Source organism: Homo sapiens, chromosome X (genome assembly GCF_000001405.40).
Source record: "Homo sapiens chromosome X, GRCh38.p14 Primary Assembly".
Classification (NCBI taxonomy): domain Eukaryota; kingdom Metazoa; phylum Chordata; class Mammalia; order Primates; family Hominidae; genus Homo; species Homo sapiens.
The window spans coordinates 107,822,982-107,847,424 of NC_000023.11; the positions used below are offsets into that span (position 1 = coordinate 107,822,982).

General features: G+C 40.9%; 1 protein-coding gene across 4 annotated transcripts in view, besides 3 other annotated features; it reads left to right on the forward strand.

Annotated features, from left to right (window-relative positions):
• Positions 2,754-24,443, forward strand: part of MID2 (midline 2) — a 105,903-nt gene continuing 84,213 nt past the window's right edge. For 2 of the 4 annotated variants that reach the window (NM_001382751.1, NM_001382752.1), the window contains exons 1-2: positions 2,754-2,819; positions 17,689-18,404. In NM_001382751.1, the coding sequence (NP_001369680.1) occupies positions 17,745-18,404 (660 nt within the window). In that variant the 5' untranslated portion in view covers positions 2,754-2,819; positions 17,689-17,744. Of the gene's footprint in view, positions 2,820-2,884; positions 3,450-17,688; positions 18,405-24,443 lie in introns of those variants that run through there. The other 2 variants (NM_012216.4, NM_052817.3) reach the window with 1 other exon arrangement.
• Positions 3,303-3,492: a silencer, noted in NCBI's record as "silent region_20933". NCBI's record gives its function as "represses an Ori minimal core promoter by ATAC-STARR-seq in GM12878 lymphoblastoid cells {active_cell/tissue: GM12878}" and the evidence as "EXISTENCE:reporter gene assay evidence [ECO:0000049][PMID:35858748]".
• Positions 3,653-3,702: a silencer, noted in NCBI's record as "silent region_20934". NCBI's record gives its function as "represses an Ori minimal core promoter by ATAC-STARR-seq in GM12878 lymphoblastoid cells {active_cell/tissue: GM12878}" and the evidence as "EXISTENCE:reporter gene assay evidence [ECO:0000049][PMID:35858748]".
• Positions 20,078-20,372: a silencer, noted in NCBI's record as "tiled region #15158; HepG2 Repressive non-DNase unmatched - State 24:Quies, and K562 Repressive non-DNase unmatched - State 24:Quies". NCBI's record gives its function as "represses a minimal TATA promoter and a strong SV40 promoter by Sharpr-MPRA in HepG2 and K562 cells {active_cell/tissue: HepG2 | K562}" and the evidence as "EXISTENCE:reporter gene assay evidence [ECO:0000049][PMID:27701403]".

Below are 24,443 nucleotides of genomic sequence, written 5' to 3' on the forward strand. Positions count from 1 at the left end.
TTCACAATGTTGCATAACACTATTTTCAGAATTTTTTCATCATCCCAAACAGAAATTCTGTATTCTTTAAATAATAATTCCTCATTTCCTCTCCCTTCAGTTCCTGGTAACCTCCACTTTACTTTCTGTCTCTAGGCTCCTTGCTCGTAATTGTTTTTGAAAAGGTAATACATGAATATTATAAAAAACTTAAACAATACAAAAGAGCATATGCAATGTTAAATACTTCCTCCTATGCTTGACCCCCAGGCAACCAGTGTAACCAGTTTCTTAGGTATCTTTCAGAAGAGTCTATGCTCATACAAGCATTCATAGACATATACCTGCCTGCTTCTGTATGCGAATAGTAGGAAATCATACACAGTTCTGCACTTTGCTTTTTTCATTTCATAATATCTGAGATTGTTTTATATATATATATATATATATGTATTATCATACAAATGCATATATGTAATTATTTTAATGACTACATATCTTATTTATCCCCTCTTCTATCAGGCTGGATTCAGCAGACTTCTGACTCATTAACTTTTAAAAAAATAATTTTTTGTGCCAAAAACCACATAACATAAACTTCATCCTTCCAACAATTTTCAAGTGTACAGTACAATATTGTCAACCACATGCATATTGTTGTGCAACAGATCCCCAGAACATCCCCCTCATCCTGCATGACTGAAATTCCACACCCACTGAACAACTCTTTCCTTTTCCCTCCTCGCAGTCCCTGACAACCAGCATTCTACTTTCTGTTTCTATGAGTTGACTATTTTAGACAGTCATATAAGTAGAATCATGGAATATTTGTCTTTTTGTGACTGGCTTATTTCACTTAGCATAATGTCCTCAAGGTTCATCAACTTTGTAACATGTGACAGGATTTCCTTCTTTTTTTGAAACTGAATAATATGCCCTTGTGTATATATACCATATTTTCTTTATCTATTCATCTCTTGATGGACATTAAATTTGCTTCTGCCTCTTGAATGATGCTGCTGTAAGCGTGGGTTTGCCAGTATCTTTTTGAGATCCTGTTTTCTATTTGCTTGGATATATATCTAGAAGTAAGATTGTTTAATCATATAGTAGTTCTATTTTTAATTTTTTGAGGAACCTCCATACTATTTTCCATAGCAGCTACACCAGTTTACATTCCCTTGCATAGTGGCTGTACCTTTTTACAATAGTGTGCAAGGGTTCCAATCTCTCCACAACCTTAACACTTATTATTTTCTGTTCTAATTTTATTTTTTGTAGAGACACGTTCTATTCATGTTACCCAGGCTGATCTCTAACTGCTGGTCTCAAGTGACTCTCTTGCCTCAGCATCCCCTCCTGAGTAGCTGGGATTACAAGTGTGAACCACACCTTGCCGTATTTTCCTGTGTGTTTGTTTTGTGTGTGTGTGTGTGTGTGTGTGTGTGTGTGTGTGACCATCCTAATGGATGTGAAGTGATATTTCATTGGGGTTTGATTTGCATTTCCCTAACAATTAGTGATGTGGATCATCTTTGCATATGCCTGTTGGCCACTTGTATATCTTCGTTGGAGAAATGTCTATTCAAGTCTTTTGTCCACTTTTAAGAGTTTTTTTTTTAATTGAGCTATAGAAGTTCTTTATACATTCTGGATATTAGCACATTATCCGATATATGGTTTGCAAATATTTTCTATCATTTTGTAGGTTGCTTTTTCACTCTGTTGATTGTGTCCTTTCCTGTGCAGATGTTTGAAAGTTTTATGGTCCCATTTACCTATTTTTGCTTTTGTTGCCTGTGCTTTAAGTGTGACTCACTAACTTTTACTTCTCTTAGGGGCCAGACTTTCATCAGGAGAGCCTGGTTGTGACTTTTGTCTTGGTTTCCACCTCAGTGCTCTCTAGCACATTGTTTAACAGGAGTGTTGACTGATTACTATTGGTTCCCTGAAGGGATATACCAAGAGATACCTCAATTTTTCTGGACTTGTTCCTATGCACAATGATGGGAGGCGTGTGTGTGTGTGTGCTGGGGTGAGTCTTCCCATTTTCTCATTTCTTTCCCCTTCTTCTCCCTTTTTGCCCCAAGTTAGAAACAGAGTCTCTTATGGGGCTTCCTGCTCTTTCCCTCTCCCATCCACCTTTTGAGTCGGGTGGTGGTCTCTGAGCCAATGACAGGTCAGCAAACAGGCTGATTCCAGACCAATGGGAGGATGCTGGATTCCAAATGGACCAATTAGCTTATTAGGGACCTGGAATAGCTGGATAGCTAGCATCTGCCTCATTGTCCATGTGGTAACGACCCTCTTGTTTTACTGGTCAACAATTTGAAGGTACAAGAAAAATCCTACTTTTTTTTTTCTTTTGATGGTTTTAATCCACCTCCACAACTTCTGCCCGAGGCCAATAAAACACAGCCATTCTTTTTTTGTAAAAAGAAAGAGAGGTTCGGTTTCCTTCAATTGTCTGCCCTTTTCTATCTCCTCCACTATTTTTGTTTTACTCTGTAGTTAACTTTGCATAGAGCAGCTTCATAGGGAGGATCTCTGCGGTGGACCCGGCTCTCTCTTCTTATTACCCGTTGCAAAGGCCTCTTTCTTGTTCTAACCTGGGGGTTTGTGGGGTTGGGGGACAGGGGGATTGGGGAGTGGGAGAAGAGTTTAGCCATAGCCTTCCTTCTGCATTTCACACACATTTAGCTATCTCTGTCGCTCTGTCACACACACACACACGCACATACACACCATACACACACACACGCACACCCGTCCGGGTCCCTCTCGGTGTGTCTTCCTTCAAGATGACAGGGCGCTGGAGAAAAGGCTGCTGGAATCAGCTGGTAGGTACAGTAGTAACCCGAGCCCCACCCACCGGCTGCCTTTGCTTGCTCAGGTTTCTCCGGTCACTCCTGCCAGGGGAGAAGACATGTAAACGTGCCTCCAGAGGAAGGGCTGGGGGAGCTGGGAGTGGCGGGGGCGGCGGAAGGTGAGCCTGGGAAGGTGGCCGAGCACCCCTTCTTCTTGGGCCCTTCCCAGTGCTCCCTTGGGGTGTCAGCCCCAGCCCCGTTTGCCCCCACTCCGCCTCCCTTTTGGAAGGGATTGCCTTTTTTTTCCTCTGCGGCGGCGGAAATGACAGTGTGGTGCTGCCGTGGTGTCATGGTGCTGCCCCTGGACTGAGGGGCGAAAACTCTTAAGTTTAGCTCGGGAGGCCCAGCTGCGGTAGCATCGCGGCCGCCGTGCTGTCCCCTGCGGGGCGCGCGGGCTGGCGGATCCCGGCTGCTGCGCGGCGTCGGCGACGGTAGCGGCAGCGGCGGCGAAGGCGGGCGGCGGCCTACAGTGGTAGCGGCGGCGGCGGCGACCGGGGCCCGGGAGCTCGCGCCGGAGCCCGAGCCAACCCGCTGCGGAGGCAGACGAGAGCCCAGCGCCCTCGAGCGAGCGGAGGAGATGGCTGGCACCTGGGAACGCTATGGGTAAAACGCGCCCCCTCGCCGCGGCCCTGGAGGTCGAGCGTCGTAGCCCTCGCAGGGCTAGTCTCCGGCTCCGGCCGCTTTTCAGGTGCCGCCGGGGCCCGGCGTTGGCCGAGGGCTCTCCGGCTCGGCGAGGCAGGGTGATGGGGCCCGCGAGGCTCGAAACGGCGACGGGGGCCCCAGCTCAGCTCCGGCTCTCAGTCATGCTGTTGGGGCCCGGGTTCCTGCCACTGCCCTCCTGGGACGGAGTTTGCACTCCGGGGTGCGGGGCGGGGGCGGCCGAGGCCTCTGCGCAGCCTGGCCGGGCCCGGCGCGGGCAGTCGAGCGAATCCCCCGGCGCCTGGGCGCGAGTCTGGGAAAGGGCACGGCCGCCTTCCCACGCTCCCGCAGCCGGCAGCCTCCTCGGCCCAGGCGTCGCCCCTTGGCCGGCCGTCTGCCGGGCGGTGCTGTCGCAGCAGCCGGCGTGGCTGCGGACGCCCTGCCGGCGGGGAGGCCCGGTGAAACTTAATCCCTTTTCTGCCAGGGAGCGATCCTCGAGTCTCCGTCTGGATGGTTCCTTATTTCTGGCCTAGCTGTGAAATCAGCTCTGTGGGGGAGAGGGAAAACTTACATATGTCCACAGGACAGACTGCGACGCAACCAGGGAGAGTGGGGATTTTCCATTCCTGCCTTGTAAGAATTAAGTAAATAACGGCGGAGTAGATTTACAGAAACATTACTGGTGATGATAAGGTTTAGGTTACTTAGCACTTCGTGTGTTGCACATTATTTTTCAGAGGTGTTTCTTCTTAGAGCAGGAAATTGAAATCCTGCAGTCGTTGTACTCTTTACTTTCTCTCTTCCACGGTCCCCTACCCGTTTTCAGGATCACTCACCTTCCTATGTCACAACGCTTACTTGCCTACCCAAATCCCCCAGCAGAGCCCCTTGGACCCCAGCCTTTCCCCATCAACGTGTGCACTCCCAGCCTCCCAGCCATGCAGCATCTTACTTCTCAACCACTTTGCCTTTTTGAGGATTTCTGAGTGTGGGGCGGATAGATGGTGATGGTTGTGTGTCTCTGAGGATGAGCCCTTATAAAGGAATATATTGGAAACTAAATAGAGAAGTACTGTGTGTGGGTTGATCCCTCTGATTCTCAAGTTGGGCCAGAAGGGCTGCCTTTAACCCCATTCTGCTCCGTCCCAGTACTCTAATCAGTTCTCTGGCAATATTCCAATAGAAGGGAGTTGCTGAATAGGGAGTTCTCCTCCCCTACTTTTCTTCTGTTTGGGGAGTGGTTTCATTGTACCCCAGATGGTTAGCTTCCCCCTGCCCACCCCCGACCCTCACATCCCCCTGTCTGTCTCCTCTCATGACTGTACTGAGGGAGAAACTGTCTTTGCTATTTTTATATATTCTTGCCCAATCAATGAACTTAACATGGATATGTAATGTGAATTAGATTTTTCCTGGTTGCTCCTCACAACTTGATTTATGTGTTTGTTATAGTTTGGATATTTATCCCTGCCCAAATCTTATGTACAAATGTAATCCCCAGTGTTGGAGGTGGGGCCTGATGGGAGGTGACTGCGTCATGGGAACAGATTTCTCATGAATGGTTTAGCACCATCACCTTGGTTGACTGTGAGTCCTTGTGATAGTGAGTAATCTCTCCTGAGATCTGGTCGTTTAAAAGTGTGTGGCACTTCCCCCCAGCTCTCTTTCTCCCTTGCTTCTGCTCACACCGTGTGAGAATCTCCTGCTCCCCATTCGCCTCCCTCCATGATTGTAAGCTTCCTGAGTCCTCCCTAGAAGCAGATGCTGGCATCACACTTCCTGTACAGCCTGCAGAACCATGACCCAATTAAACCTCTTTTCTTTTCTTTTCTTTCTTTCTTTTCTTTTTTTTTTTTTTTTTTTGAGACAGGGTCTTGCTTTGTTACCCAGGCTGGAGTGCAGTGTCACATTCACAGCTCACTGCAGCCTCCACCTCTCGGGCTTAAGCAATCCTTCTCCCTCAGCATCTCAAGTAGTTGGGAACACAGGTGCATGCCACCACACCCAGCTAATTTTTGTATTTTTTGTAGAGATGGCGTTTTGCCATGTTGCCCAGGTTGGTCTGGAACTCCTGAGGTCAAGCTGTCTGAGGGCCTCGCCAAGTGCTGGGATTACAGGCGAGAGCGACAATGCCCAGCCTACCTCTTTTATTTATAAATTACCCAGTTTCAGGTATTTCTTTAAGGCAATGCAAGAATAGCTAATGTAGTGGTTAAAACACAGGTCCAGGAGTCAAGAAGATCAGAGTTCATCCCAAATATGATGATACATTGGCTTATGGCTTTAGGACATTCCTATGACTTTTCTTTCATAGTTGGTGCACTTGTGTAAAAGCTATAATATTGTGTACTGGGTATTGTTAGTCTTGACTTGGTCCTTTGAAGATGAAAGGGTTCTGTAAACCCTCAGCATTATACTTTTTTTTTCCTTTGAGACGAAGTCTCGCTCTGTCACCCAGGCTGGAGTGCAGTGGTGTGATCATGGCTTGCTGCAGTCTTGACCTCTCTGGCTCAAGCAATCCTCCCATCTCAGCTTCCTTAGTAGCTGGGACTATAGGCACACACCATCACACCCGGCTAATTTTTGAATATTTTGTAGAGACAGGATTCACCATGTTTCCCAGTCTGGTCTCAAACTCCTGAGCTTAAGGGATCCACCTGCCAAGTCCAAGTGTTGGGATTACAGGTGTGAGCCACCACACCCAGCCAACATTATACTTTTCAAAGAAAGCACTTCCTTTACCTTTTACTGAGTTAGTGGATTGACTGGGTGTAAGCAGGAATCTTAGCTTACTGAAAACCTTTAGCTTCCCACCCCCAGAGCCAAATCGTATCATTGTACGTAGGTCCTAAATCTGGTTTTTCTCCAATACATGTTCAACTGAATGAAAACATACATGCAACTAGGCATACAGAGTAATAATGATCAATTTAAGTTGAGGCTTGAATCATTTCTAATGCACTCTAACCTAACAATCTGAGTCAGACTAATTTGAAGACATAACCTCACCCATTTTTTAGCCTATATGGGGGCAGTTTGTTAGCTTCTAATGAAAAGTGTCATAAATAATTTGGGGTATGGCTATATAAGCATGATTAGCACCTAGTAGCAGAGTCAACAATATTAAGCACCTATAATGTGCAGAGGACCTCTGCTGATTGGGCTGAGGCCCCAGATTTAGCCCAGTATTTTGGCCTCCTGCTTGTTCCACGCCAAACTCCATACTTGCAACTCCAGGATTAGGTCAGGGAGGGGCTGTGCAGGACATGGGTAGAGGCTAGGGACATGAAAGGGTGGTTGTGTCCCTCTTATTTGTTTTCATGACTACTAGAATTCTCGTCTGGCATGTTGCACCCTGCAAGGCCACCTCTGGGAAGTACTCCTGTAAATCAGAGTGACTTGATTGCTTTATGAACATATCATCTGAATGGTGCAAATTGATTTAGATAAAACTGATTTAGTTAATCCCTTCCCTAAGAGCAGGGAAACTTGCTTCAACTCGCAGATCCTAAAGTGGTGCCAGTGGAGTCTCACAATTGCATCCAAATATTGCTCTGAGTAGTGAGCCTGTCCATTCCTTCATCCCTCCTCCCATAAAATCTGCTGACACCACAATAATTGACAAGGGAACTACACAAGGAGTATGTCTGTCTTCATCATTCAGCAAACCTCATTGGCTTGGTGAAGAGGAGAGAATGTTGTCTTCTCATTCTATCCCATAGAACTCAAGCTCTGTCTTTTCAGACAGGGACACAGAGCCCTTAAAAGGGTGAAGACAGGGCTGTGGGCACAGAATATGTCTCAAATGGCTGCTCTTGGAAATACCTGCTTGGTCTTGTGTGTGTCTGCCATTCAATCTTTATGAATCTTGGTAATATCCTTGCTGTTAGGCCATGGGGCTCGGCTGCTAGTAGAGGCCAGGGGGTGCTCCATTTCCATTTAGCATTAAGTTTTTGTCCTCTCTTTGGCACAAAAGCGAGAATGAAGCTCTGTGTTCATGAAGCACTCCTTACTCATTAAGCTGGGTGTCTTGACTTAGAACATTGCATCATCAAAATATGAGATGTAACATGTTGATACTGGATATACAACAGTTTTGGATAATTCAAAATTGTTTACATTTTGATAAATGAAATTTTGGTACCAAGATGGTGTTGCACTAACATCTGTACTTCAGGTCTCTCAAAAAATATTGTGTTCATCACTAAGCAGTGTACAGAAGAGACTAGAAAAGTGTTTCTCAACTGGTGTGTTGGGTCATGCTAGCAAGTGAGAAGACCAGATGAGTGGTGTTGAGACAAGAAATTCCAGCTGTAATTATCTTCTTGTACAGATAGCTAATCTACTTTTTATTTACCTCCTCAATATATTAAATATGTTCCTTTCTCCACTTTCATGTATTAAAACTCTGCTAAGAGTTTTCTGTGGGCTTAAGTAGTCTGTGGCTGTTTCTATTTGTTTCTCTCTTTCTGTCTTCCCCTTCTTTATGACCATAGGCAGATATAATCCTTTTGATGATGAATCTCCCAGATGCTGAGTTTTCTTTTAGAAATTCTATAAATTACTAAGACTACTAGATAGTATAAGATGCTTAAAGTGTGGGTGGTGGAGGGATTTTGAGTAATGTGCCAGCATCCCATTATTTCCTTTTCCTTGTGGGATTCACCTGAATACACTCTAGGATGCTGGTTCAGCCTAAGTGGGTTGGCAAAGTATCATTTGTAAGCATTATCCTACTTGGGTTCTGGCCTCCCTGCAGAGCTCTGGCTGCCTGACCTTGGGCTTTGTCTCAGCTTCCTTCCCGTAGGTCAGACTCCGCTGGTTGATGAACGGCATCCCCAGTCTCTGGATCATCGTCTTACTGAGACCGAACAATCTGATAACAAACCCATCATACAATCTGAAATCGTCCTGAAACATGAAATCCCAGTATTTGCAATTTGCCTGGATAGGAGCATAATGTATGGGCATGGCAGACAATGCTAATTCATGACAGTGAAGTGTCTTAATATATACAGCACAGAGATAGAAAAATGGTTTACGATCCAGATCCTTGATCACTTTGTGTATAGCCCTTTGTTCAGTGTTGCTAGGATCCATGTGGTTCCCAGGGAAGTAGAAGCTTGATTTCAAATAGGCCTCTGTTCTCTGTCCCTTGTTTCTGACCTGAACTTGGGGTCCTCTCAGCCTAACATTCAATAACATGTCTTACATACATATATTGCCATTTTTATTGTGTAGATGACTGCCTGTCCAGGTGAACCACTGAACATTTAAAAACTTACAAATATTTTGTTGGGTAACAGAGGTTAGGAAAAGCAATCCTAGAGGAGATGGAAAGCTGTACCAGTAGTCATAGGTAAATTAAGTTTGTTTTCCATTTGTTCCTCAACCCTGCAACTGCCAGTGTAATCTGCATTAAGATAAAGGTGTTATGAATTGTATTTAGGATTCCTGTCAATTATCATGTGTTACCTTGGCAAATCCATTTGTTGGTTACTTGGATTAACCTTTTGGGTTTGTAGCAGATTTAGGACTTCTAGTTCTGCTATTTTGATACTCATTTTAATGTTTATATGATGACTATCTTGTATAAAATACTCAATGTTTGGATTTAAAAACTAATTATTGAAAAGAACATACATTAATTCCATGTACTATAAAATATTAAGTAGGCTTTAATAACCTATTAGACAGGAGCTGGCACTGGTGCTCTCTGCCAGTCGGTAATCAGCCTCCAGTTCTGAGTTCTCCCTGTGCAGGATGAAAGTTTAAGAGAAAAGAAAAGAGACAGCCCTTCACTTGGAGAGGGGTGGGGATCCCAGTCTAAAAGTGAAGACATGAGCATAACAAATACCATGATCAGTCCCATGATCTTCCAGAAGTCTTGTGGAGGAGTGTGATTGTCTGCCATTATGTCAACCATGTGTTTGGGATGAATTTCCAAACATTTTTGGCTTTTCTTAATAACTTGCTTTGTTTCTATAATCTATGAATGTATGATGAGAATACCTGTATTTGTAAAGTAAACTAATACTTTTATTTTATCCTCGTCTGATCCTCACAATAGCCCGTGAGATGGGCAGGGCAGGTATTTTTCATCTGATAGATGAAAAAGCTGTGGCCCAAAGAGTTTAAATGTACCTAGGATTGCTCGGCTAATTTGGTTTAGATCCAGGACTACAACCAGGCTGTATTATGAGGGTCAAATGAGATAATGGCTTTGAAATAATTTGAAAAGTATAAATTGATATACAAATGTAAGGTGGCTATTATCAATTATTATTACTGACCACCTAGCCTCTTCTGTCTAGGTTTCTATTTTCAGTTCTTATCCTATAGTGTGTGAATTCGATGCATTGGTTGCCTTTTGTGTTCCAAAATGATCTGCTTTGAGCTTCAAGGGGTTCTTTTCTAATCATGGTGTTCTAGAATTTGGATTTTGGTTTCTTTTACAGCCCCCAAATATATTCTCATTAGTTTATATTCCCATGGGACTCTTCTCCCCTTTAGTTGTCCTCTGGAACATCCATTATGTCTTTTTTGAGATACAACAGACAAAAACCACTGTACTTTGAGCATCTTAGTAATGCATTTTGTTTATGTCCTGCTCCAGTGGCTGTGATGTCTATCACTTGTTAGCCTTCCTAGTCACACTAATAAATAAAAGTTGTGTTTTTAGGAGCTAGTTTACAATAATCCAAGCTGTCTTTTTATGTGGTAACAGATAGCAAGAGCTCTATAATAATCGGATGTCAGAGCTGGAAAGCATCTTAAAGAGATCGTCTGGTGATTCTAGTTTAGCTTGAACATTTTACAGTTGAGGAAACATCAGACTAGGCCAGGACTCATTTGCTCCTTACCCCAAGGCAGGGAGACAGTTTCTAATACTTTAAGGAAGAACTCATGGGACATTAATTTTAATATCCTGAAGAATGTTTATTTTATATATATATATATATATTTTTTTTAAAAACCTACAGCTCAGCTCATTTCTCAATCTACAGCCCAGAGATCAGGCTTGGTTTCACACTCATGGATTTTCTATGAAGGGAATACTATAACTCCTCAGGAAGGTAGTGGGAGCTCAGATACATGCTTTGCAGACCCGGAAGAAAAAAAATTAGATGGAATAATAATTGTTAATTAAGTGGGCATTTAATTATGCTCAAGTAACCTTTGAAATAATAGAATTATGCAAAGTACAGATCACGACTTCTCTCTTGATCAGAGTTAGCTAAAGGCTAGATTTGGAGGACAATGCTGAAATCAGTCTTTTATTTCATAAGTGTAGGATGCATTATTTTTACGTTTTTGAAATTTATTTTTTATTTTTATTTATTTTGAGACAAAGTCTCATGCTGTCACCCAGGATGGAATACAGTGGCACAATTACGGCTTACTGCAGCTTCGACCTGCTGGACTCAAGCGATTTTCCCACCTCAGCCTCTCAAGTAGCTGGGACTACAGGTGCATGCCACCACACCCCACTAATTTTTGTATATTTTGTAGATATGGGGTCTTGCCATGTTGCCCTGGCTGGTCTCGAATTCCTAGGCTCAAGCAATCTGCCTGCCTCTGCCTCCCAAAGTGCTGGGACTACAGGTGTGAGTCACCACGCCAGACCCATTATTTTTTATCTTAATCACCTTCATCAAAACTCCTTTTGTATTTCTACCCAGTTATACAGCCCAATGGTACCTTCTTCTAGTTTATGCTCATCGACTTCTTTTTTCAGAGGTCTCACCCTGTAGTAAGGCACAAGGTAAAGAAAAGCCATACAGAAACAAACATACATATCTGACTATATATGGCAGTAACTAAATGGTTTGGAAGGGAACTAATCAGGGTGTGTGGATGTGGACATTTGTTTCTTAATATGGCAATTGATCGTGCCCTCTCAGGTATTTCATCAATGCGTTTTTATGACAAATTGTAAAAACTTTCAAGATTACCTGTCATTGAGTTGCACCCTATCAGATTCACATCCTGTCTTCATCCTTAGCATACTCTCTAACTCTGTATAGATTAGTGATTCACAAACTTTTTGAAATTGCAACAGTTTGCCATTGTTTAATTTTTGTCATGCCACTTCCTCCTGCTAAAAGTATTTCATGATAATAGGAGTCAAATATTTTTCAGGAGTCACTTATATACTTTTTAAAGTGAATAAAAATTGGGAGCTGAGAATTTTGTAACACTCATTGATCACTAGAGATATCCCAGGGTATTGCAAAACCTAGACAGGGAATCATTGACCTAGAAAAACAATTGAAAGGAACAAGCAATCCAATAGAATTTATAAATACTATATAATCACACAGTTGTTAGTATAGTATAGTGATTTGCTGTTTACACCCTGGAGTCAGACAGACCTGGGATTGAATCTCTTCTTTAAAAAAATTAGATGTAATTCACATGCCATAATATTCACTATTTTAAAGTATACAATTCAGTGGTTTTTGGTATCTTCACAAAGTTGTGCAATCATCGTCACTATCTAATTTTAGAACCTTTTCATCATCCCAGAAAGTAACTCCATATTTGTTAGCAATCACTCCTCATCCCCCATCCTCCCCTGCCCTGCTCCTGGCAACCATTAATCTACTTTCTGTTCCTTTGGGTTTGCCTATTCTGGATATTTCATAAAAAAGGAATCATACACAAAAGGAGCCTTTTGTGACTGGCTTCTTTTACTTACTGTTTTCAAAGATCATCCATGTTGAAGTATGTATCAGAACTTCATTCCTTTTTATAGCCAAGTAATATTCCACTGTGTCTATCCTTTCATCAGTTGATGGACATTTGGGCTTTTCCCTTTTGGCTACTATGAAGACTGCTGCTATGAACATTTGTGTACAAGTTTTTGAGTGAACACATTTTCCATTCTTTTGGGTATATACCTAGGAGTGGAATTATATGGTAACTCTACATTTAGCCTTTTGAGGAACTGTCGAACTATTTCCCAAAAGCAGCTGCACCATTTTTTATTTCTACCTGCAATGTATGAGGGTTCTAACTTCTCCAAATCCTGGCTGACGTGCTGTTTTCCGGTTTTTGTTTGTTTTGTTTTATTATATTTTAGCCTTCTTAGTGTGAAGTAGTATCTCAATGTGGTTTTGATTTGCATTTTCCTACTGGCTAATTATGTTGAGCACCTTTTCATGTGATTATTGGCCATTTGTATATCTTTGGAAAAAATCTATTGAAATCCTTTGCCTACTATTAAATTGAGTTACTCATCTTTTTTAATCTTGAGTTGTAAGAGTACATTTCTAGAGACTAGACCTATATCAGATATAATAATATGATTTGCAAATATTTGCGCCTAGTCTGTGGGTTGTCTTTTTACTTCATTGATGGTGCTTTTTGCAGCACTCAAATTTTAAATTTTGATAAAGTACCATTTATGTATATTTTCTTTGGTTGCTTATGCTTTTGGTGTCATCTGAGAAACTGTTGCCTGCCTAACCTAAGTTCACAAAGATTTATGCCTATCTTTCCTTCCAAGAGTTTTATAGTTTCAGCTCTTACATTTAGATCATTGATCTGTTGTGAGTTAATTTTTATAAATGATATGAAGTAGAACTCCAACTTCATCCTCTTGCATGTGGATATCCAGTTGTCCAAGCACCATTTGTTGAAAAGAGTATTCTTTCTCCATCGAATGGTCTTGGAACCCTTGTTGAAAATCAGTTGACCATAGATATATATAGGTTTATTTCTAAAGTTTTATCCTAAGTTTGATTCTTAGTTTTGCCACTTAGAAACAAGTGTGACCTTGAACAAGTTACTTTTTTTTTTTTTGAGACGGAGCCTCGCTCTGTTGCCAGGCTGGAGTGCAATGACACGATCTCGGCTCAAGCAACCTCCGCCTCCCGGGTTCAAGCAATTCCCCTGCCTTAGCCTCCCGAGTAGCTGGGACTACAGGCATGCGCCACTACGCCTGCTAATTTTTTGTATTTTAGTAGAGACGGGGTTTCACCATGTTGGCCAGGATGGTCTCGATCTCCTGACCTTGTGATCCGCCTGCCTCAACCTCTCAAAGTGTTGGGATTATAGGCGTGAGCCACCACGCCCAGCCTACTTTTTTTTTTTTTTAAATAATGATAATACCTACCTTTTAGAGAGTTGTTGTGAAAAGTAAATGAGGCAATGCGCATAAAGGGTATTGTTCAGGTGCTTAGATAACCAGAAAGGTAGGGGAAATGGGGGATAATTGAAAGGATTCTAAAATATTAGGAGTACCCAGAACAAGAAAGCCTCATAAATTAGAGATGATTGAACACGTCTGAAGAAGTTGATAAAAGTATTCAGTACCCGAAAATTGGCTAAAACAGTTAATATATGATAATTAAAAATCAAACAGATTCGAAACAGTCTAGAAAAGCTAAAATAAGCAAGAGGCAGTAACTATCTTAAAATATTCTTTACAGAGCTGAAATAAGTTAAGGTAGGTTATTTTAGAGTACTAATGATTGGGTTTTTTTCTTTCAAAGACTCTTGAGAATCTTTTGAAAGCTATGGGCAACCCTTTCCCCAGGAAAAATGCATATATGACATACAAACACATTCTGCAAACAGTTCTAGGAAGTTCAGAAGTCCCCGGTTAATAAATCCTATTTTGACCTTACCCAAAGCAATCCTGACCCATAGCGTGCTTTCCCAAGCTTAATTTCATAATGAGGTTCAAGTGTCACACTGACTTGGAAATAAATTTTAGATTTCCAAACAAAATTTAAGAGCTTTTCCTCTGTACAGGACAATTTATATGGCACCCTCTTAAGCCTTAGGAAAGCTGTGGTACTCTAATTGTTGTTATATAGTTTTCAGCATACATAGACATGGCTTTCAGCAATACATGTGACCAACCCAGGTAGCTTCCAACACAGACATTGAGGAATGCAGGCATACAGTTCTAGAAGAGATAGTAATAGAAGTGCAGTGTGAGGTGGAGATGGGCCTAGAAGACAGAGATATGATTCTGGAAGGAACTCAGAATGAAATAGGCAGATTCAGAGAAAGTAAGAGAGACAGAGAGAGATAAAAATAGACGTAGAAACATGCTGTTTAAAAAAAAAAAACTCTATAAACTATGTTAAATATACCAAAGTAAAGATTTCCAGAATTCAAAAAAAAAAAAAACTGTCTTGTAAATGGTCCAGATAAACCTCAGTGAAGGAGGTGAGATGATTGAAATAAAGGTAAGGGAAAAGAGCACAGGCATTGGAATTATACTGACCTGTGCTCTGGGTATGTATGTTTTTGGTTGATTTATTTAATGATTCTAAGCCCTAGTTTCCTAACTGTAAGGTGGATACAGTAATAGTAACTTCCTCACAAGTTTCCTGAAAGAATTAGTGAAATAATGTGTAAAGTGCTTAACATAGTACTCAGAATACAGGAGATGCTCAATGAATGCTAGACCCCTTCTTACTCCTAGTTTAAGTGATACTTCATTAACAATTATTGAATACAGTTTGTGTGAAGCACAAACTTGTGCTGTGAATGAAAATATAAAATAGTTGATACTCTCAAGGAGAAGGAAGAGTTAGCTGGAAATACAGCTATGTAAGTGAAATAAAACAGAATGTTCTGGAAGCCACCAGTGGTTGAGGTGATAAAAACATGTAGATGAGAGATCTCTTAGATTTCTAGGCTTGGATGGTGATATTCACCAGACAGGGAAAATCAGAAGAGGAGCAGGTGTTTTTTGTTTGTTTTGTTTTGTGGAGGTGAGGAGGAGCACAACAAGTTCATTTATAGACATGTTGAGTTTGAGAATCTGAGTAATATATCAAATGGAGCTCTCTAAGGCAATATTCCTGCTGTCAGTGGAAGTTGGAATCTTCATCTCTCAAAAGTCTCTTCCAATTCTAAGATTCAATGATGTATGTACATTTTAATTGTTTACTTTTTCATCTGTATGGGTGAACGTTGATAGATGTTATAAGCTACAAAATACTGGCCAACAACTTTCAAGCACCTGTAAATTCTAAAAGAAAAATACCTTGTCTCACTTAAAAAAACTGGCTGTACAAACATCTGAATCTACTAAACCAACTGAGTGACTGATTTACAAAAAGATTCTTCACTTTTATAACCTCATTTCATATAGATTTTCATTAAATAGGTAGTTAGTTCAGTGCATTTAAAAGGTTTGATTTAGAAACAGCTTTTAGGTGTACATCTATTGTACTTAGGCATAAAGTATAATTGTACTCAGTACTTATGTATCCTGTGACAATATCTGAACAAATACCAATGGCAGAGCAAAATTTTCAAGCTCTGATGAGAGTCTCCAATGATGACAAGATAATAAACAAAAGCTACTCAAAAGCAAACAATGCTTTTCTTGGGCTTGGCTCTGTGGCTCACTCCTGTAATCCCAGCACTTTGGGAGGCTGTGGTGGGCAGATTGCTTGAGCCCAGGAGTTCAAGATCAGCCTGGGCAACATGGCAAAACCACGTCTCTACAAAAAATATAAACAAAAATTAGCTGGGCTTGGTGGCATACCCCTGGAGTTCCAGGAGGCGGAGCCCAGGAGGCTGAAGCAGGAGGATCGCTTGAGCCCAGGAGGTGGACGTTGCAGTTAGCCAAGATTGTACCACTGCACTCCACCCTGAATGACAGAGGGACACCTTGTTAAAAAAAAAAGCAAGAAAGATGCCCTTTTTCTTTCCTATACATAGGATTAACATTTTCAGTCAGTAAGATATGTTTTATATTTTTCCTTAGTTAAAGACAACTTAGAATATTTATGTGTGTGTATTTTAATTAATGGAAGACTCTAGGCAATTAAGAATTAGGTACCTGTGTGTTCAGCACAGAAATGCCTGTGGAAAAATAGATAGAGTTACCAAGAGGTTGGTTTCTTGTCAGTTGGGTGGCTTTTTTTGTTTGTTTTGTTTGTTTTTTTTTTTTTTGGCAGTCTCACTCTGTCACCCAGGCAAGAGTGCAGTGGCATGATCTCGGCTTACTGCAACCTCCACCTCCCAGGTTCAAGCGATACTTCTGGTTCAGCCTCCCGAGTAGCTGGGACCACAGGCAAGCGCCACCACGCCCAGCTAATTTTTGCATTTTTAGTAGAGACAGGGTTTCACCATATTGGCCAGGAAGGTCTGGACCTCCTAACCTCGTGATCCACCCACCTTGGCCTCCCAAAGTGCTGGGATTACAGGCGTGAGCCACTGTGCCCGGCCGGGTGACCTCTTTTACTCACTGATGCTCACTAAATTGAAGGTTACCAGATCTTAAAATTTCTGGAACTTTGCTAATTTCTATCTAGATATTGATTTGCATCCTGTTATGTTTTAGAAAGTATGAAAAGACACATGGGAGGTGAGCTTCATAGCTGGCTTGTGCTAGTTCAGCAGGTGTTTAGTAATGAAACCAAACTGAAGCCACAAGGCAATATGACTTTATTATTGATCAGCAACTATTGCTGAGTAGGTTGAAAAGTTTGAAATCATTCCCCATTCAGCTTGATGAACTGAAGGGGTTTCTGAAGGTGAGGGAAGAAGATGAAAGTGAAAACTATCATCTTTTATCTCAAGTAACTCAGTTTACTAGGAATAGAATGGAACGGAAATTTCCATGTGTGATAATAAGAAGTAATTCAAGTTCACACTCTGAGGAAAAACTTATTATCCTGCACCAAGGGCTACATTTTTCTAAAGCTCTCTCTTTTTTATGCAGGCTTTCAGAATGGAATCATTTCAGGAAGTAGAGAGTTACTTTAAAATATGGCATTGTTTTCCTTACACTGGATGTCACATAGAAGCAGCCCTACAGTTTACCTTGAAGTGAAATAGAGAACAATATTGGAGAATAGAGATTGGGAATTTTGCAGGGTCTCAGCCTTATCTTAGTCTAGGAAAAGAGATGTCAGTGGAGAATATGTGAGAGAATGATCCATGCAAATATTGTGAGCTGGAATGGTAATGTTAATCAGTCTATCAGGATTCAGAGGTGGCCATTTGGTTTTATCTATTTGTGCATGAAAATAAACATAGGCATTTGTCTAAAACAAGGTTTGAAGGGGAAGAAAGTCTTCCTGATTAGTTCCCAAATTGCTTTTCTATTGCTTAAGCATCTCTGGGGAATCCAGCACGTAAACGCGCCCATTGGTTAGTGTATAATTGTGTTATATCCATTTTCCTTTGGAAATGCCTAATGACTCTTGCTTTGTATTCCTTGCAGGTGAAAGCCCAGCCTCCGTGGTTCTTAATGCCTCAGGAGGACTATTTTCACTAAAGATGGAAACACTGGAGTCTGAATTGACCTGTCCAATCTGCCTAGAGTTGTTTGAAGACCCCCTTCTGCTCCCTTGTGCTCACAGCCTCTGCTTCAGCTGTGCCCATCGCATTTTGGTATCAAGCTGCAGCTCTGGTGAATCCATTGAACCCATTACTGCTTTCCAGTGTCCTACCTGCAGGTATGTTATCTCGCTGAACCACCGGGGCCTGGATGGCCTCAAGAGGAATGTGACTCTGCAGAACATTATTGATCGCTTCCAGAAGGCTTCAGTCAGTGGGCCCAATTCCCCTAGTGAGAGCCGCCGGGAAAGGACTTACAGGCCCACCACTGCCATGTCTAGCGAGCGAATTGCTTGCCAATTCTGTGAGCAGGACCCGCCAAGGGATGCAGTAAAAACATGCATCACCTGTGAGGTCTCCTACTGTGACCGTTGCCTGCGGGCCACGCACCCCAACAAGAAACCTTTCACCAGCCACCGCCTGGTGGAACCAGTGCCAGACACACATCTTCGAGGGATCACCTGCCTGGACCATGAGAATGAGAAAGTGAACATGTACTGTGTATCTGATGACCAATTGATCTGTGCCTTATGCAAACTGGTGGGTCGTCACCGAGACCATCAGGTCGCATCCCTGAATGATCGATTTGAGAAACTCAAGGTAAGGGATCTGGGGAGCATCCCCTATACAACTTTGTCGCATAAATGCAGTTAGCAAGTTCTCTAATAAAATAGGTGACTTTTCCTATATGACAAGTGAGTTAACTTTAAGTTGTTCTCATGAGGAATAACCTGCTCTCCTGCAAGCTCTTCCTGGAGCCTATCTCATCTGTTGCATAAACATTCTTGCAGTCACACACTTCTGGCTAACTTTTGGGGAGTCAGCTCATGGCCTGCAACACCAGTAGTTCATCCAGGGAAACACACCCTCTATCTTCTGTCAGTGACATATTGCTTATTATATATCTTTGCTATGATCTTTCCACCTCTTCTTTTAAGTATGTGAGTACTTGTGTACGTGTACTACAATTAGCATATGTGTCGATTTGCATATGTAGGTATATGGCAATGGGAAGGCAGGGTGTGTCTCTGTGTAGGTGTGGGTGGAGGTGGCTGAGTGTATCTAGGTAGGTGAGAGATTTTTGTGGAGGACATTATTGTATGTTTGTGTTTGTGTACTCAATACACTAAAGAAACAAAAGTTTGGCATTGGCCATTACAAATTGCCATTAAGCCTTTAACATAGGGCTAATTCTAAGCCTGCCTTTAAAAACAAAACAAAACAAAACAAAACAAAGAACTGAAGAAACTTCAGTATACCACGAAATTGGGAGGGATAATTAAATATCTGAATGAACAATTTAAACTGAAGGCAATAAATATTTTATCCAGTATCAAATTTTGTGACAGTGCTCACTATTATGGGCTACAAACTGAAGCATTTGTTTATAGTTCCTGCCTTACAAGTTCCTAGTCATTTATGTGTATTCAATGGACAGAGTTTTCTAAAGTTGTTGTGTCATATAATATGTATGTACAAGTCTAAGTGCCCATAAAAAGTCCTCCTACCTTACACTGATGATCCAGCGAATTGTTTTATTCCCATTGCTTGTCTGCTATGTTGTATAATTTCTCTTAAGAAGGGAGCTACTTAGCAGATATTCTAGAAAAATAAAATGTTTAAACGGATAGTAAAATTACCACTCCAAATAGAACCTGAGTACATAAGCCAAGCTAGAAGAAAGACCCAGATAGGATAAAAGGAGGGCAAGAAGGGAATGGAGATTTTCCTCCTGCCATGCAGTGGATGATTCATTGTAACTTCTGTAAAAAGTATAATGTTGGTGAGAGTAGCAGTACTCAGAATAGGATATATTTGTCCTGTAATTTGTTGCAAATAATATTGAGAGTAGTCACAATGACTATGGTTTGTGCCTCTTTTGGTTATTATTTATACCTGATATGTATAAATGTGTAGCAAATTCAATTTTTTTATTTCACTCAAGTTGATACTCTCATTCATATCAAGGCTGCAGAGGGAAATAATCTTGTTAACTTCAGTTCTTAGACTCATAAGATATTAGGCCTTTGACTTGGTCTAGTCGAAGCGCTCTACTTTAAAGTTGTATAAACAGACCTTGATAGATGAAGTGACTTGGTCAAAATCAAAGAAATGATTAGTAATGGGAAAGCTAGAACTGGGACTTAGCCTCTAGATTGAGTAACTATCCTTTGTACTGTAGCCGGCTGCCACTTTGTTTTGGATCTAAGTTTTCCCCATGAAATGTGATTTGAAACTTAACTTTATGCTCCCACAACTGTACATTTCGTGGTCATAGATAAATGATTAATGACATCAAGGAAGGGACAGATTGTATAAACTTACAGCTGTATAATGGCAAAAGATAGGAGCGGGGTTATAGGAAGAGTGGGGGATGTGAAGAGGACAGAACAATCTCTGCCAAATATTTGCAGGTGTTGGGACTATAATAAGTCATTGGCCTTGAGAAATATTCCAAACAGAAAAATCTGTGTCCATATGCACTGTTGAGATAACAAAAAGACTGGCTAGTGTAAGCTTGTATTACAGAAAACTAGCTATTTGAAAACATCCGAAAACATGATGATTGATTAGATATTTGGCATCATGAAGCTATAGCCCTCATCTCCAGGGATGGATGGAACATGGACATATTTTACCAAGATATATTTTAGTCTGTGACTAATCGGTAATTTTTGGAGAAAGAAAGCCAGATTTTGAATAGTTCCCCTTTCATATTTTAGGAAATGTGCAGAAAATTCTGATTATAAATTAAGTGGAAACTATTTTTACTCATTTTTGGATGGAGAGTGGAAAATGAATCATTCCCAACTGTGTGGTTCGTTATGTTGTCTGAAACATCTTGGACTTTGGGGAGGTGAGAGAGGTACTGGTTGTGTGTGTGTTGCGGGGGTGGAGGGGTCACTTTGGTTTGGTGCCAAGTGTAAAAGAATATTAATTCTCCATGTTAAGCAGAGAGAAAGTCTGACTTTTAGTGTCACATATACTCACTTCTTTGGGTTAATTTTAAATTGGAAAATCATTTAGGATTACCCCCTTAGTCTGCTTGATTCTTCCCCAAGGAGAAAGGGAGAAAGTTGGCTGGCAGGAGCTATGGGAGAGTCTGCCTGAGTATATTCCCCTGGCCCTGGCCCTGAGAGAAGCACAGGAGTCCTGTAGGAGATATATACTATACCCTATCATTCTTCCCCATACTATCATTCTTCCCCTGTATCTAGGAGGTTGGCTTTTTAGCCAGTATCTGATAACAGGGTTTATTTTTACTTTTTGGTTCTGGAACTTCACTGTTGACATTTGTAACTACTTTTTATATACGAACCTCCCTGATTAGGATTAGTGGCTTCTAATATTTATTTGTTCAATAAAGAATAAATAAACCATTATGTTATAGATGAAAAGTCAGAATAACCAGAAACTAGCCTGTCTTTTTAACATGTTCTCAAAGTGGATTAGAGGGCTTGGGGTACTTAGTTTAGTTTCATGATCTTATTTAGTTGTCCAGTCTACCAATAGGGTTGAGACGCAGGACACATGTCTTTCAGCAGGCTACCAGTAGTTCAATTAATTATTCAATTTTAAATAATATTTTTATTCACGACAGTTATTAGAGCAGTAAGTCCTATCAGAGTAATTATTTTCTCCATCACCTCTCACTTTTCACTCACTAGTCCCAATATATATCTTAGTTCATGATATATGGGGCATTTCTATAAAACGGCTTCATATTTTAGAATTTTCATTATCACATGAGTTTCCATCCTTATAAAAGATTGTTGTTATCGTTTTAATAAATTTTGGCTTCATAAAAGAGGCCAAATTTCGGTGACTGTCTATTGCTGATAGACTTCAACTCAATATTATAAGTCCCATACAACTTTTTTCTTGTGCTGCCCATGTATTTTCCCCTCTACTCCTCTAAAACATGCTACCTTCATCTACCCCAGTGAGCCTCCTGTCTGCAAAATATACCATTCTCTTTTCTGATTCTTAACTGTCACTAGTGTTCTTCTCTTGGCCTGTTTACAAATCCTACGTATTCTTTAATGCATAATTCAAACCCCATAAGACCACTCCAAAACATCACAGCTACGTCATAATCTCCTTCAGGTCAGAAATAATGTCTTGTATTTCTTTAGTATTCTCCTTAGTTTCTAGTACACATAGTATTTTCTCAAGAAATCCAAATGAATTCAGTCTTCATAATGGATTTGCAGGAAATATACCAGTGCCTATAGCTTGCTTTGGATCTCATCTAAGAAGATATAAATCTGTCTTGCCATTATATATACCCTGAAAGTCTGAAAAAAGATCTCCTGTGAACTACTGACAATGTTCAAAACCAGAGTGCTAGCAAAAGTATGGCATGTCCTTAATTTTAATTGCCTATTCATTTTGATCACTGGATTTTCCAACTGCCTACCCCTATGGTGACATCTGTATAAATCAGATGTGATTATTATAATTCTCTTTGAGAGTGATGTCTTCACATTTCCATGCCCACAGCCTGCCAAAAATATAGCTGATGAAAACCAGGGGGAATAGAGGAATTTCCTGAAAGGAATAAACAAGCACATTTTCTTTTTCTCATTACATTTCCACAAATTCATTACTACAAATAATTCTTAAATGCAGTTACATTTACATATCAGGGATCTTGTTATAAAATATTACCCAGCACTGGAGTAAGCCTTTTATCATGGGAAAGTAACACACACACACACACACACACACACACACACACTCTCTCTCTCTCTCTCTCTCTCTCTCTCTCTCAGCAAGACTGGGACAGAGAAAGCTAATGATTGCCAGACAATGAGAAGGGAGATATGAGACTTGGAGGATGTTCAAAGGAACGCCACAATGAGAGTTAAAAGGTTGGAAAATATAGTGCTCTAGAATCTTATCACAGTTGATTACTTGTCCTTCTTCCTATTCAGTCACTCTGTCATCCACCCACCCATTCTCACTCAGTCACCACCTTCTCCCAGTCATTTATCTACTCACCCACTTGACACCCACTACTGTCTGCCAAGACAGATACCCTCTCAACTAATGTACTAATGGGCATATGACTTTCTCAACCAGTGTAAGTATAAATATAAGGGAAAGAAAGTGAAGTATATTTATGAGAGACTAGGTTGAGAGTATATTTGCATACACATGTATGCATCACTGTATATGAGTGTGTATATTCCTGCATAAATATGTGGCTGAGAATGACTCTGTGTCTGTGTATGAAAGTATATCTATAAAATGTGTATCATTGTATGTGAAGATGTGAGAGTGTGTAAATCTTCTGATAATTTGGGTAGGAGGGGGCCATGAGTGTAAGGTAAGCTTTCTGTTGTCACCCTAGGGAGTGTTAGAGCCTCAGCAGAACCCATCCTGAGGCTAAGGATCAATCTAATAAATGAGCCAGATCAAACATATGCATGATAAGAAAAATCTTCAATGGAGGCCAGGGTGGGTTACCATAGGTGAGGGAAAAGAAAAATGTTGTTTCTCACTCTCAGTCAGGTACTAAATCACAGTAGCTAAATATAATAAGAACAAAACATTTGAGACCAGATTTATGCTCTTTAAGGTCTGGTGGTAATGGTGGTGAACATGTGTGTGTGGGGTTGGGGACAGTATCTGACAGGTTTCTCAGCTAAACCAGCCTTCAACTCAATGCTCATAAAATCATTCTTGCTTGTAGATCTGCCTTCTCTGTGGTCTCTTAACTGTTCCAGACTTGCTCCCCATCACATACAATATGTGTAAATCTGTACATATTTCATGTGTGTATGAGGATAAAACACATTTCATTTCATCTCTACCCAAACTGTGCACTAAGACTCATTTGAACCCCTATTCTTTTCTCTGCAAGACTTATATTGATTTCTCTGTCTCTGAACTCATTTATTATTAACAGGACCCTGTTTTGGAAGATGTTTTCCATTGTTTCTTTGGTTTGAGAGCAAGTTTAGCAAGTAGATACTCCTATTATCTGTACCCTTATCTTTCTGTTTTTCTGTTATTTCTTTTGGCTCAAGTTTTCTCTTCACCAATATTTGAAAGGAGCTAACAATCGTTTGTTTGAGAACAATTTACAAAATGTTGACACAGAGATTGTTCTTGGGTGGATAGAAATCCTGTCTGTTATTGTTGGGCAAAGAAACATATTACAGAAATATAATATAGGTGAGGAAAGATCAAGGAAACAAGAATTACTGAACACAAAGAAGTGAGGTTTAAAGGGAAAAATGTGATAATGGCCTTCAAGTTCATGAAAGGTTGATATAATGAGGTAATGCCTTATTCTTTGTCTCACATGAAGCTAGAACTGACAATAACTTAAACCGTAGCATCAGGGATTTAGGCTAGGGATTCATTCATTCATTTAACAAACAATTAATGAACATTCACTTTGTTTACTAAACACTTTGACCACTGTGGTAGGAGCTGGGACACAGGAAATAAGGCACAATCCCAGTCCTAAAGGGACTTTGAACTTAGTAGGGGAGATAGACAAGTGGGAAATTCCAATTCAGTATGGTAAGTGCCATGACAGAGGTTTGCACAGGATGCTCTGAAGCACAGTGGAGGGGTCAGGGAAAGGATATCATTGAGTTCAAAAACAGGGAATCATGAGTGAAT